Genomic DNA, 15,362 nt, shown 5'->3' with positions numbered 1-15,362 from the left:
ACTAAGGGTAAGAACATAATTTGGGGTGAGGGCACAATTTAACCCATAACAATTGCACTTCTATTTTTATTCTTTTTAAAACACACTTTCATTTTTATTCTGTTTAAAATACACTCGAATTTGTTCTTTTAATTTTTTTAGGCCTATGAATTATTTAGAAAGTGATTTTTTTTGTTTTCAAATATTAGGAATTTGTTCAACTTAATTATTTGTTGGTATGTTTGAGATAAATTCCTGTGGCTTTTGTATGTCTGAAAATAATCTTTATTTTGACTTCGAAAATAATCTTTTATTTTCATTGATATTTTCAAAGATATTATCTCTCAGGTATAGATTTTTAAGTTGACAGTTTTCTCTTCCTTTAGTACTTTAAATATATTACTCTCCTGTCTTTTCACTTGCATTGTTTCCAACAAAAAATATGCTCTTATCTTGATGTCTCTTCATCTGAACATAGTGTTTGCTTTTACTTTGGCTGCTTTTAAGACTTTCTGTTTATCACCGGCTTTTAGCAATTTTATTATGATGTATTCTTATGCAGTTTTCCTCACATTTTTTGTGTTCAGGGTTCATTGAACTTTTTAGACTGTGGATTTATAGTTTTCATCAAATTTGGATAGTTTTTGAGGTTATTTATTAAAATATTTGTTCTTTTTCCTCCTCTTTCTCTTTTCCATGGAAGACTCTAAATACACATATGTTCGGCTGCTTGAAGTTGTCTCACAGCTACCAATGGTTTTTTAAAAATTCATTTTCTTTTTTTCTCTATGTTTCATATTTGGATAGTTTCTATTATTATATCTTCAAGTTCATTTTTTCTCCAGTATCTTCATCTTTAGATGTTTGATTTGAGTTAAAAAAGATATCTTCCATGTGTCTACTCAATTTTCTGGACATATGGAATATAGTAACAATAACATTTTAAATGTATGTGTCTGCTAATTCTAACATCTTTTTCAGTTCTGGGTCAGTTTAATATTGATTGCTCTATTGCTTTACAATGAATCACATTTTCCTGCTTTTTGTCTGACTGGCAATTTTTGATTGGTTGATGGATATTATGCATTTTCCTTTTTTGGGTCCGGTGCACTTTTGTTTCCTATAAATATTCTTGAGTTTTTTTGAGCATGCAGTCAAGTTACTTGAAAGCAGATTGATCCTTTGAGTTTTTGCTTCTTGGATGTGTTAAGAGGGCTGGAAAAGTACTCCAGAGATGAGATCCTTCTGTGTATCCTATCCAATGCCTGTAAACAAAGAGGTTTCCCAGATTGCTGGGTGAGATGAGGTCCTCTTACCATCCCTGTGTGAGAAGCAGATGCTGTTAACACTGCCCTTTTGGGTGTTTTCCCCCCTACTTTGGGTAGTCTTCTCACTTATAGCACTGATCGCTACTTGTGGGGCACATTCTGCAGTTCTCTGGGTTTCGTCCTGTGAGCTCTCTCCTCTCTGGTACTCTTTCCTAGAAACTCTAACTTCGTTCTTCATCTCTCTGGAGTCTCATCTCTGTGTCCTCAACTCAGGGAGCCTCTGGGCTCCATCTGAGTTTTTCATCACTCATTTTGGATCTGTAAACTCTCAAGGTGGTAAACTGGGGTAATATTAGGATTTACCTTTGTTGCCTGATGTTGTGTCTTTCAAATGGCTTTCTCATTATTTTTGTCTTTTTTTGTTTGTATCAAGGAAGAGATTAAATCTAGTTTCTATTACTCCATTTTGGTTCAGAGTAAACATCCTCAATAACTTTTTGAGGAAGGTTACGAGAAAATCAAAAATTTGGTATTTTGCAAATCTGAAAATGGCTTATTTTCTCTATTTATATGTTGATGGACTGAATGGGTAGATAATTTTAGTTTAAGTCTTTCAATTCTTAAATTTTTTTATTGTTCTTTCAGGTCTCTAAATGTTTCCATCTGTTTTTATTGTTCAGAGGCTATCACTACTATAAAAAGTAAGCTTCTTTCCTTGAATAGCCTGCTACCCCCAAAGAGGTATTTGCTTTTTGTTTGTTTATTTTAGAGTCTATCTTCCATGTTTGAAGCTTCTCTCAGATATCTGGCAATCTCTGTATGCCTGTGATTAAGAGTGGAAGAATAAAAGACTGAATGGAGACTGTGATCATGTGGATCTGATTTGTTGACTTTGAGCTTCACTGCAGAATAATCTGGTGGTGGGGGCATTTTGGGGGCACTAACTTTAGAACTTTCTTTTTGGACTAATCAAGTTCCTTACAGTAGAGCTTTTAGATCTATTTAAGGGAAGGTAAGAGTCCACTTTTTTTGGCATTATGGAAGCTAAGTGAGGAAGAAGTTGGTGTGTTTCTTTTCATATAGTCATTTATGGTACCTATGCCCTCAACGGTGCCTGGCATTCGCAAATTACATATTCTTTGTATTAGAGCAAGGGCACTATTTTTAATGGCCACCAAAACACATCAAGTCCTAATCCCTGGAACCTGAAAATATTACCTTATAAGAAATAAGGGTCTTTGCAGATCTAACTAAGAATCTTGACATGGTAGGACTGTATTGCATTATTTGGGTGAGATCTCTTGTACCCTTGTGAAAGAGAGGCAGAGGGAGATTTGACATGCACAGGAAAGGAGACGGTGTGACTATACAGGCAGAGTTTGGAGAGCCACAGCCATTTGAGAAAGCTAGAAGAAGTCAGGGAGGGACTCTCTCATGGAGGAAATGAGGTCCTGCCAACACCTTGCATTTGATTCAGTGAAACTGATTTTAGAGTTCTGACCTCTAGAACTGAGAGAGAATACATTTTTGAAGTTTGAAACCCCCATTTGTGGTGACTTCTTTTACTACAACCACAGGAAATGAAAGTATCCTCTTTTATTTATTTATTTATTTATTTTTTTAATCATTTCTAGAAAATAAGCTTCCAGCATTCTACACGTGTGCTGGTAGGGCACTTGCTCAGCAACATGGAATCAAGTAGAGGATCCTGAGATCTGCTTGTTTCTCAAAAAGCTTTTCTCTGGGCCTCTTTATTTTATCTCCTGTCTCCCATAAACCCTCATTATAAAGTCACCTGTTGCTGTTAGTTCCTATGCCTTTTGAGTATTCTCTGACATAAATTAGATTTTACCCTAAGTTTCCCATAACTACTAGTGGGAGGAAATAGCCGTTAGTCAATCTCTCTCTTTCTCTCTCTGTGTGTGTGTGTGTGTCTGTGTGTGTCATTCAACTCTCACAATGCAGTGTTATCTTTATTCTTATTCTTTGTGTCTTTGTGGGTTTAAATCTTTTAAAAAATACTTTACTATAGTTTAAGTAGACTGTCAGATAATATTGCAATTAGATGCATGTGCTCATTCTGCTATATAGAAACAGAGACAGTATTGTTCACTCTTAACTACTAGCATTATTCTAAATATTCTAAGGATAATAAGATTTCCTCAAAATGTAGACTTTGTCAAACTTAAATAGCAACTAGATCTTTGCCTCTTTCTCCAGTTGGAAATAAAAAAAGTCATCATCACTGAAATTAGGTTTGTCACTTTTTGGAAAAACTCAATTCTCACATTCTTTTTGAATAGAAGCACATTCAAAGAAGATTGATTATTTTGAAGATTTTCAATTTATTATCATTTTGAAGGTGATTTGGTTTATAGAGTTCTATAATGTAAGAATTAAAAACTCATAAGGCTATTGAGAATCAGCAGCTTGTAGTTCTTTAAAGCATTAGTCTGTTATATCTGATATTCACTTTGTAGCTCATATCCCTGCTTAATCAATTTAGCTCCATTGTGTTCCAGAACAGCTACACTAAATACTGTATTGTTGGTCCTACCAATGACTTTTCATAATGTGAACTTGAAATGCTCCCTCTTTATGTGAATCAGTATCTTTGGAATTTTTCATTTAAAAATAAAGCTTATTCATTGCGTGCTAGCTTTGGATAAAACGTGCTCTACACTAATCTGCAGTGCTGAGTCCGGCTCCAGTGCAATCCTAATCAAGTCTACAAAGTTTTGGCATTCTTTGGAGGGATAGCCACTTAAGAAAGGATCCAGTAATATATTGCAAACTCCTCCATTTTAAATATTTCATTTCTTGCTTTGGGACCAGCTGCAAGCAACCAAAATAAGATTGCTTTTAAGAGTGGAAATTTGTAACTCTTTAAGCCATGCAATTTTAGTTTAGTTTTGACTGATCTTGAAGAAAAGTGTTTAAACTTTTCTTTGATGCAAGGTTTCATTTGGAAAGTTCCAGACATGCACCAGTGAGCCTAAATGGATTTGCTACTTTGTTTTCTGGGAGCAGTTTGGTTATTTTCATTGAAATGATGGTGGCATTTTTTTACCCTGTTGGTTATTTTTGCTTAGTTATTGCCAGGTACCCAAAAGATGAGGCCTTTAAAAATTCCATGATAATGTATGCTCATCATGCAGGTGATTTATTTCTCTAATTTTCACTCCAATTCAGAGTATGTAAGACTGTTTTGTTGTGACATTAATGGAAGAAAATGACTCCTACCTTCTTTGTGAGTCTACTTATGGAAAGGACATTGTATTCCTCTTTTTAATTAAAAAAAGTAAACTGGTCTTTCAAAACAAATCTGAATCAAGTATAATTTTATAATAAAACAGAGAAGCTGTAAGGGAGACTTTATGTTTGGTTCTTAAAACTATAATAAGATACAATAAGCAAATACTATCTTTCCCTGAACACTTGTTTCATTAAACTTTTTGAGGGTAAGAGAGAGTAAAGAATCAGAACAAAGAAAAAAAGAAATGTGGGAGTGGAGTTATTTTTTGAAGATCTGCCATGAGTTTCCTGGCTTAGCTAGTGGGAGATGTCAAACAATAAACTGAAATAAATGAACACTGAAACCAAATAAGAACCACAGCTTACACAGGGATATGTTGTTCAGTTTTTCTTGTTAAGCCAGAGCAAATATATTGACATGCACACAGACATGCATATACAACTTTTCAAAGTGACTCTCCCTAATACTGGAAATTTTTGGCTTCTGACCAATTTAAGGAGAGGTTAGCCAAAGACTAAAGCTTTACTAAGACCACCCAAAATTTCGGACTCCACCCCTTCTTTGAATCAGTGCCACTGTCATACAAATGGAGAAAAGGAAAGAGGGAACAGTGGGCAGATGGGGGAGAGGAAGGAAAAAAGGAGACAGAAAAGAAAATGCAACTTTTAATCGGAGGAAATAAAATCTTCCTTCCTTTCCTTCCTTTCCTTCTTTTCCTTCGCTTCCTTCCTTCCTTCCTTCTTTCCTTCCTTCCTTCCTTCCTTCCTTCCTTCCTCCCTTCCTTCCTCTCTCTCTCTCTTTCTTCTTTCTTTCTTCTTTTTGAGTGGATGAAAAGATACAAAACAGTTACATCATTCACTTAGCGTTGATTTTTGTTTGTTTGCTCCTTTTAGCTAGAAGTACACATTGTAATTTTCTGTAAGACTCATGTTGCAAACTGCAACGGGTGTTTTTGGATCTTTTTTAGATTTTAGTTTAAAGTATGTACAATATTTTGAGAATATCTATCTGTTCTAGATTATTCTAGTTCCAATATTAGCTCTAAACTTATACTGTAATATTTTGCATGGCAGGGAACTACAGAAATTAGTTCTTTGATGTCTTAAAGTTTTATGGAAAATTTTCACCACTTTAATGAATCTTTTTGTTTGGAGGCCTTTGGGTCAAGATGTTGGGTCCTGCTGAGACCGAACTGGACTAAGATACTTTAACAGATTCCCACAAATGTTTGTGAAAATCAGTCAAGTGATTATATGCCTATCAGCAAAACATTCTTAACTGTCCTTCTCAAGGTAATGCTTTGCCGTAAGTCTTCTTAGACTTTTTTTTTTTTAAGTAAATGTGAGCACACTGGCAGAGATGGTGAGCAGTTCCAAGTGTGTGTAGGAACTCAAAGTTATCTTTTTAACTAGCTATGAAATGGAGAATGACCAGTTTTACTTCAGTGCATCAGAAAATATTCCAGATCAAGGCAGATCAAATTTAAGAAAAAGAGATTAAAGGAAGCAATTAAATGAGACACAATGTGAAGAAAGTATAATGGAATGTCAGAAAGAAAGGCATGGTCAGGGGGAAGACAGACTTAAATGTGAAGATTTGGAAAAGAGAACTGGTTGACTATTTGCTCTGGAAGCCATGTGCTATCAACTGCTGGGTTAAAGGGGAATGGGTGGAAGTTGCCAGACTACTGACAATAAGAAAACAATTGAACAGAATGATCATGTCCTGCATTGGTTCTCTTACAGATCCCTGTATGCCTGCTTCCAGGCTTTTTACACTGCTGTGTGCATAGAATTGGTTTATTCACTTCTTGTGACTATTGCTCACTTCATGTAAACATTCTCCTAGTGGGTTAAACATTTCTGGAAGCAATTATGTTTCTCAGAAGTAACTCTGTGCTTTCCAGTTAAAATGCCATGAAAAATGTTGCCAATCGTAAAAGTCAGACATTATTTTCTATTACTGTGAAGCCTCCTTAAAATTTTCATGAAGAAATCACTGTCAGTGACCGAGGGTCTTGGAAACTTCAACATGTATACGTCTAAATAGCTATCTGCTTATCTCTTGAAATATATGCATGCAAGTATTTTTAGATGCTAATATTCTGATTTAAGTACTCAAAAATTTGGCCTATAATACTGTTCATAAATTCATGTTTTGATATCCTGAACTTGGGATAAAAATTGAGAAAATTTTTATTCTTTTTAAGCAAATAAAGTTCAAATTAGAATGTTCTACAAACAAGTAACATTTCAAGTCTCCATTTCTCAAAATTAAAAGAGAAAAATTCACTACTTTGAAGATCTATCACTTTAAATTTTGCATCTTGCAGCTACTCAGTTAAGTTCAAAATTTTAATCCTCAATTCATTGACAATGCAAATTATTTGCCAGCATTTGGAAGTCAAACAGGGTGAGAGAGGAGAGCCTTTACATATTCCAGGTTTAATATCTAAGCACCAGATGGAAACAATTCTACAATGAAAGAAAGAAATCTGTTAGGATATTTTGGAGATCTGTTCAGTTCAGCAGCACGTCACTGGTTATGGAGGCCAATTTCTCAGAGGACTTATTTGAATTGCAGATATTGAAGTAGTGTTCTAATTTAACCCAGAAAATGCTGAATTTTAAAGTAAGTTAAGTTTTAACCTTCCTTAGATAAAAAGTACCCATTTTGCTTTCACTAATGACTCATTTGTATACTTGAAACAAAGAATTTTGAGGTAGATAGACAAAGAGAAAAAGAGTAATTTTTATGTGCAATTGAAAGAGTAACAAAAAGTTTCATTGTACAACCATGACCATTCAAGGAAATTGTAAAATTGTCTGCATTTATTTTAGCTATGAATATCCAAGACAGTTTATACCATTTAATGTTGAAGAATTAGGAACAATTAGCAATAAAAATAAAAAAAATTAGCCTATGGATTTTTTGAAGGGTAATTTTTAAGGAAATCTAAACAGAAACAAAGGGCAACAAAATCTGCTTGGTAAAATACTGGCTGGTTGAGCTTCGACAAAGAAAGACTGAGGAACTACTGGGATACTAAGCAATAAATCTCTGAGGGGGCCTCTTTCATATTCATACCTGTATTTTCTGGCAAAATAAGTGTCAAAATTTGCAACCATATGACAGCAAAATTATGTATTACATGGTGTGTTATAGATTTTGGGTGAAATCCAACTGAAATACTTTCATAAGAACTTGACATGATAAACAAAACAGATTGCTATTCCAAACTGCAGTTTGTTTAAAACAAAAAACAAAATACTGCTATTATAATAGATGATTAGACTGTCAATCCTCCCCACCCCCATTGCTAGATTTTTATTTCACAAGGAATTGTGAGAGGACTTATTACTTTTTATGTTATTATCCATATGCAATATTCCGAGGCCTTAAAACAAATGAGAATGGAACTAATAGAAAGTAGGCAGTGAGTTGCAGCTTGTTCATATATTTTGGTTAGGATGAATAGGTGGAGTCCCTGTGGTGAGCAAAGGGAAAAGAATATTCAGTCTTCAAACCTCTGACTTGGTCCCAATGTTTCTGGTATGTATTTGAGCAGAGAGATATAAAGAAGCAAAGGGGAAATGGAAAGGAGTTTAAAAGCAGCAAAGAAGAACAGAATGAAAAGTGGGAGGGAATGATCATGAGGAGATTCTATTCTCTTGAGTTATCTATAAGATTGAATTCTTTGTTTCTGTAGGAGGAACATTGGCCGGTGACCCTTGGTGTCTTCTTAAGTCATGTTTTTGAGATATTCAACCTATCTCCATAGTATTAAATCAAGAGGATACTATGAGACTAAGTAGAAAACATATTTCATGGTGCCGAGATTGTCTCTGAACAACTTAAGAGGCCGAGAGGAGTAATTTAAACTTCCTTAAATGGACTTTACCTGTAGATTGCATACTTTGTATTGATAAAGAAGACAGGACAACTCTCTCAAATAATTTGTGGTTGCTCTGAAGAGGTAGAACTAAAACTGCCAAAGAATGACTGGTCCATGAATCAAGAAACCTGCATTCAAATCCCATATCTCCAACTAACTGTATAAGCTAATCATATCTGGTTTTGTTTTTCTTAGCACTGCAGTTTTCTAGTTCATAAAATAAGGAGTTTGGTTTGGTGATCTCTAAGGTCTATTCAAGCTCTGAAAACTAATGTTTTTGGATTTGCTTTATTCTAAGAACTCAAACACTGGCTCTTGTTCAGTGTCCTGAGAACATGTCATAAATATCTGACAAAGACCTACAGACCTATGAACATTTGAATCTTTGATGTTCTCCCTACTTCCCACTATCTTTCATATCCCTGTTCCATAGAATTGTAGAACTCTTTGTCTTACAAATTTAACATTCAGAAAACATCAACTGGATGTTTATATTATTTGACCTGTTTATTGACTTTATTATTGAACATAGTCAGTTTAAGAGTTAAAGAAAGAGGAAAGAAACATGAAATGTGGCTGGCAGTTAAAGACAGGTTTTCTTTTTCCTTTTTTTAAATTATACTTTAAGTTCTAGGGTACGTATGCACAACATGCAGGTTTGTTACATATGTATACATGTGCCATGTTGGTGTGATGCACCCATTAACTCATCATTTACATTAGGTATATCTCCTAATGCTATCCCTCCCGCCTCCCCCGACCCTACGACAGTCCCGGTGTGTGATGTTCCCCATCCTATGTCCTTTATTTTGGCACTATTCACAATAGCAAAGACTTGGAACCAACCCAAGTGTCCATCAATGATAGACTGGATTAAGAAAATGTGGCACATATACACCATGGAATACTATGCAGCCATAAAAAAGGATGAGTTCATTTACTTTGTAAGGATGTGGAAGAAGCTGGAAACCATCATTCTGAGCAAACTATCACAAGGACAGAAAACCAACCACCGCATGTTCTCACTCATAGGTGGGAATTGAGCAATGAGAACACTAAGACAGGTTTTCTTTAGTTAAAACCTGAGAGGCACTCCTGGCTGATATCAGTCAGGAGAGTTTTCTCTTACAGACTAAGAGTATATATTGGTCTTAGGGAGGGGGGGCTTATTACAACTTGGAATATTTATGTGTTGGGGAAGTTTATGACAGGGTTGGAATCTCTTTGCGAGGAGGGGAGGTTATCTTGGGGCAGACATCCTTCTGGCCTGGAGTGGTGTTTATCTCGGGGCTAGCATGTCCCTGGTTGTGGAGGAGTTTGGAATGTTTCTGGTTGGAGATGTTATTTGTGGTTTATGGTCATGCTGACCTTAGCCATTAGGCTGATACCCTTTGGATTTAGGTGGTTTTTATTAAGGTGAACTTTAGAATGAGGGACTTGTCCAAGATGATGATGCTCCTGCTCTGTCAGTCAGTTCTTCTGGATTCACAAGTGATACTTTTACGAAGCAGTTTCTAGAAGTGTTTGATGGAGTGGAGGACTTGGTTCCCTAAGACTGGTGATATTCAGAATGTTGAAAAGTGGGGTCCTGGTTATTAAGGTAGGGAGAGAGGAGCAGGGTTTGTAATGACCAATCTTACATACTGCCAGAAATTGTATTTTAAAAACTGAATGGTTCCTGAGAACCACTTGCGTGTCTGCTCTGCAGATGTAATCTTCACACTGTAAGTTCAGAGAATTAGTTCTTAATTCTGATTTCACATCAAAGTCATGATGATAGTTCTTCCCAGTGAAGTGGGAAGGCCTAATTAGCAAGGATAGTCATGCTCACTCGGGCTGTGCCCTAGCCTTCCACTCTGACTGCCTCTGGGTCCCTCAGATCTAATTTTCCCTCTTTAGGCCTTCAACCTGAAGCTTGGAATTGAATTTGGGACAAAAAGGTGCCTCAGGAGTGTACACAGACCCATTAAACTAGTCCCAGGTGGTCCTCAGCAAATTGCAGCCAACAACCAGTAGGGCAGCTCCTCGGTTGCTTCTCTATCATAAGCACAATGCTAAGGTGAAGCTGTTGACTCCTGACAAGGTGCGGGGGGCAGTGGGAGGAACCCTTAAATGCAGGGAAGGGGAAGGTGGCTGGGGGGAAATAGGCTCTTGCCCTATGCAAATTGATTCCTTTAACAGGGGACAGAAAACTCTCAATTGTTACATCCTCTTAGTTTCTAAGAATGGACACATACCACATTGTTCTGAATTATACTCCTGATGACTGAGCCAAATGCTCATTCTACCCAGTCATATTATCTCTGTGGTTTGCAACAACACCCTTAGCATTGTATATAAAGAAGAGATAGGAGCTATGACCTCTGCAAAGGAAAAAAAAATCCATAAGAAAGATTGAAGGTCTTGGCTGACACCCGAATGGGCTGTCAGGGATTGAGGGCTGGCCCAGGAAGCTTCAGGTAATGCAGAGATGTACCCTTGGCCAGATACTTTCAGTTGCCCCAGGACCTTATTTTGATCCCACATGATAACTAGACTTCTGTGAAGGGAGACTGGATTGGAACAAAGCCAATATTCTCGATACCTGGGGGTGATGGGGACAAGAGGGTGCGTTGTGAAAGTCCTCCCCAACAAATCTATCCTCTGCAGCCATGCCATTTGTTCTTAACTGGCTGCTACAGGCCTAGCGCTTTATCTGTTTTCAGAAAAAAAAACTGAGGACAAGAAGCCTCGAAATGAAAGTGAAAGAGGTCCACTTTTACTTACCCTTTTGCAGATCTCAGATGACCCCCAGAAATGACACAGGATTCTTTTGGTGCTCCTTTGCCAGCAGGAAAGCTCTGTGGCTAGTGGTGCCTTTGCTCAGGCTTTGCTTGGCACTGGGTTTTCTGCTAGGCTTACTCCTCTCACTCAGCCCAGTGATTGCACTCAGCTTGTGCTATGGGCCTGGATCCAGTGCCTGCCAACTCTGTGCTCAGTCCATGACTGGTCCGGGTGTGCTGTCTTGAATCATTTCTGCTTGGGTGCCAGTGTCTGGACAAGGAGGCTGCAGTGGCTTCTGAAAACTCAGAGATGCCAGCAACTGTGGAGCCCAAGGGGTGTTACAGTTGCTTGGGGAGTCCTGAGGTCTGAGCCCTCAAGGAGTGATACATCTCTCTCTTCTTTCCACTGCCTGCAGCACAGTGAATGGGGGTGGGAGGGCAGCAAGTTTCAGCTCATTTGTTTTACAGCTTGTTCAGTCCTGCTGCCCACATTCCAGCTCATAGCTTCTTGGCTGGCCTGGCCCCATTGCCACTGCTTCCTGTTACATGAAGCAACAGCCTGGTGCCAGCAGAGGGTTGGAGGGCTACAGTGTTACAGCATTTTTTGCACCTGCCATTTGGTGGGTACTGGGTTCTTGTCCCATGTCCAAGAAGAATGAGGTTACATGGACAACTGGAGAATAAGCAAGGCAGAGAAGAGACAACAGAACAGCTCTTGACACAAGAGGGGACCTGAAGTGGGTAGCCCCTACCTGAAAGCATGTAGTCCCAATATGTGGCTGAGTCCAGGGTTTTTATGGGATCAGAATGGGGGAGTGTGTGCTGATTGGTCCATAAGTGGGCCTGGACAAAGCACCATTAAATTGGCTAAAAGGCACTGAGGAAGTTCTCACTCTGGTTGTGGACGCTGGTAACTCAGTTTTCAGGCTTTAAGCTGTGCTTGGTTTGAAGGTCTAGTTTTACTGGGGACTCACCCCTGTCTGCCTAGAAATGTGTCTGCCTTCTGCTGCTATCACCAGTACTCACTTTGTTCTGTATTACTAAAGTATAAACTTGCACAATCTTTCTGCGCTGAATCATAGAATCGAGAAATTTTTGGAATGGAACACATCTTTTTGTTGATCTTTGTCAACTTCTTACTTAGAGATATCTACAACATGGTAAAATGATTATCAGCTTTAGAATAGGAATAGTGTATTTTCTAGCTTCTTTGCCTTCTAGCCATTGATCTGGGTTTTTTTTTGGGGGGGGGTAAACAGATGTATTTTATTTATTAATTAAAATATTGTTTTATATTTTATTGAGATATAATTCACACATAAAATTCACCCTTTTGCAGTGTATATTCACAGGGTTGTGCAAGCATCATCAGTATCTAATTTTAGAATATTTTTATCATCCCTTCGCTAATTAGCAAGAAATCAAATTATAGCTACAACAAGATATCATCTTATTCTAGTCAGAATGGTTACTATTAAAAAGTCAAAAAATAATAGATGTTGGTGAGTATGTGGAGATAAGGGAACTCTTATATGTTGTTGGTGGGAATATAAATTAGTTCAACCTCTATAGAAAACAGTATGAAGATTTCTCAAAGAACTAAATACAAAGCTACCATTGGATTCAGCAATTGCAATACTGGGTATATACTCAAGAGAAAATAAGTAATGATATCAAAAAGATACTTGCACTTGTATGTTTATTGTGGCACTATTCACAATAGCAAAGATATGGAATCAATCTATGTGTCTATCAACAGATGATTGGATAAAAAATGTGGTATATATACACAATGGAATACTACTCATCCATTAAAAAAATTACGTCATTTGCAGCAACATGGATAGGACTGGAGGTCATTTCCTTAAGTGAAACAAGTCAGATATAGAAAGACAAATATTGCATGTTCTCACTTATAAGTGGGAGTTAAATAATGTGTATACATGGACGTAGAGTGGGGGATGATAGACAATGGTGCCTTGGAAGGGTGAAAGGGTAAGAGAAGGGTGGATGATGAGAAATTACCTAATGGATACAATGTACATTATTTGGGTGATGAATACCCTGAAAGCCTTGACTTCACCACAACATAATTTATGCATGTAATAAAATTGAACTTGTACCTCATACAGTTTTTTTAAAAGAATATTTTTATCATCCCAAAGGAAAGCTCATGCCCTTTAGCAATTCTCTCCATTCTCCCATACCTCCTAGGTCCTGGCAACCACTGAATGACTTTTTGTCTTTATGGATTTACCTACTCTACCTTGTATATAAAAGGATTCATACAATATGTGGCCTTTTTGTTTCTGGCCTCTTTTACTTAGCATAATGTTTTAAAGGTCATCCATGTTATAACATGTATTACATTTCATTTCTTTTCATTGCTGAATAATATTTCATTGTATGGATCTGACACATTTTATTTATCCATTCATCAGTTGATGGACATTTGGATTGTTTCCACTTGTGGTCTATTATGAATAATGCTGCTATGACATTTCTCTGCAAGATTTTGTGTAGACATGTGCTTTTAATTCTCTTGATTATATACTTAGGAGTGAAACTGCTTGATCAAATGGTAACTTTGTGTTTAACTTTTTTTAAGGAGCTGACACATTGTTTTCAAAAGTGGCTGCATAATTTAAAATTTCCACCAGCATTGTATGAAGGTTTCAATTATCCTCACTAATTCTTGTCACTGTCTGTCCTTTTGATTATAACCATCTTAGTATGTGCAAATTTGTATCTCATTGTTGTTTTAATTTGCATTTCCCTAATGATTAATGATGTTAAGTATCTTTTCATGTGCTTATTGACCACTTGTATATTGCAGAAATAGCTATTGAAATTCTTTGTCTATTTTTAAATTGGGTTATTTGTCTTTTTGTTGTTGAGTTACAAGAATTCTTTAAATATTCTGGATACAAATCTCCTATCAGATATACAATTTGCAAATAATGCTCCCATTCTGTGGGTTTTTTCACTTTCTTCATGTTTTCCTTTGAAATGCAAAAATACTTTGATAAAGTGTAATTTTATCTGTTTATTATTGCTTTTGGTTTCATAACTAGAAAATCATTGCCTAATTCAAGGTCACAAAGATTTACTACTATGTTGACTTCTAAGAGTTTTATAGTTTTAACTCTCATACTTCATACTCTGCTCTTCTTAAAAAAATTAATGCTTATATATTGTGTGAGATAGGAGCCCAATTTCATTCTTGTGCATTATATCCAGTTGTCTTAGTGTCTTTTTTTAAAGATGTATTTTTGCTCATTGAACTTCTTTGGTACCCTTGTGAAAATCAATTCACCATAAATAGAAGGGTGCATTTTTGGATTCAAAATTTCATTCCATTGACCTGTATGTCTGTCCTTATGCAAGTACCATACTATATTGATTATGGGCACTTTGTATTAAGTTTGGAAATTGGAAATGGGAGTCCTCCAACTTTGTCCTTCCTTTTAGAGATTGTTTTAGCTATTCTGGGTCCCTTGCATCCATGTGAATCTTAAGATCTTTTTGCCAATTTCTAAAAAAGGCAGCTGACACTTTCATAAGAATTGCATTGAATCTATAGATCAATTTGGGGAGTATTGCTATTGCAACAGTACTAAGTCTTCCAATCCATACATTAATGCCCTTCCATTTATTCCTTTTTAAGTTTATTTCAAGTATTATTTTTATTTCAAATAGGTTTTTGGGGAACAGGTGGTGTCTGGTTATGTAAACAAGTTCTTTAGTGGTGATTTCTGAGATTTTGGTGCACTCATCATCCAAGCAGTGTACACTGCACCCAATGTGTAGTCTTTTATCCCTCACCCCCTCTCCCTTCCTGAGTCCCCAAAGTCCATTGTATCTTTCATATGCCTTTGCATCCTCATAGCTTAGCTCCCACATACAAGTGAGAACATATGATGTTTAGTTTTCCATTCCTGAGTTAATTCACTTAGAATAATGGTCTCCAACTATATCCAGGTTGCTGCAAATGCCATTATTTTATTCCATTATATGACTGAGTAGTATTCCATGATATATACATACCACATTTTCTTTACCACTTGTTGATCGATGGGCATTTGGGCTGGTTCCATATTTTTGCAATTGTGAATGTGCTGTCACAAACAGGTGTGTGCAAGTGTCTTGTTGATATCATGACTTCTTTTCCTCTGAGTAGATACCCAGTAGTAGAATTGCTG

The 15,362-nt window shown here is 36.7% G+C and overlaps 1 long non-coding RNA gene across 2 annotated transcripts in view; it reads right to left on the bottom strand.

Annotated features, from left to right (window-relative positions):
• Window positions 1–11,586, bottom strand: part of LOC107985511 (uncharacterized) — a 79,588-nt gene extending 68,002 nt beyond the window's left edge. For both annotated transcript variants that reach the window (XR_001754975.1, XR_001754973.1), the window contains exon 1: window positions 11,165–11,586. This is a non-coding gene — a long non-coding RNA (uncharacterized LOC107985511). The remainder of the gene's footprint in view (window positions 1–11,164) is intronic.
• Between the last annotated feature and the right edge of the window lie 3,776 nt (window positions 11,587–15,362).

The sequence above is a fragment of the Homo sapiens genome, chromosome 21 (genome assembly GCF_000001405.40).
Source record: "Homo sapiens chromosome 21, GRCh38.p14 Primary Assembly".
Lineage (NCBI taxonomy): Eukaryota > Metazoa > Chordata > Mammalia > Primates > Hominidae > Homo > Homo sapiens.
This window is presented reverse-complemented; position numbering and strand designations above follow the sequence as displayed.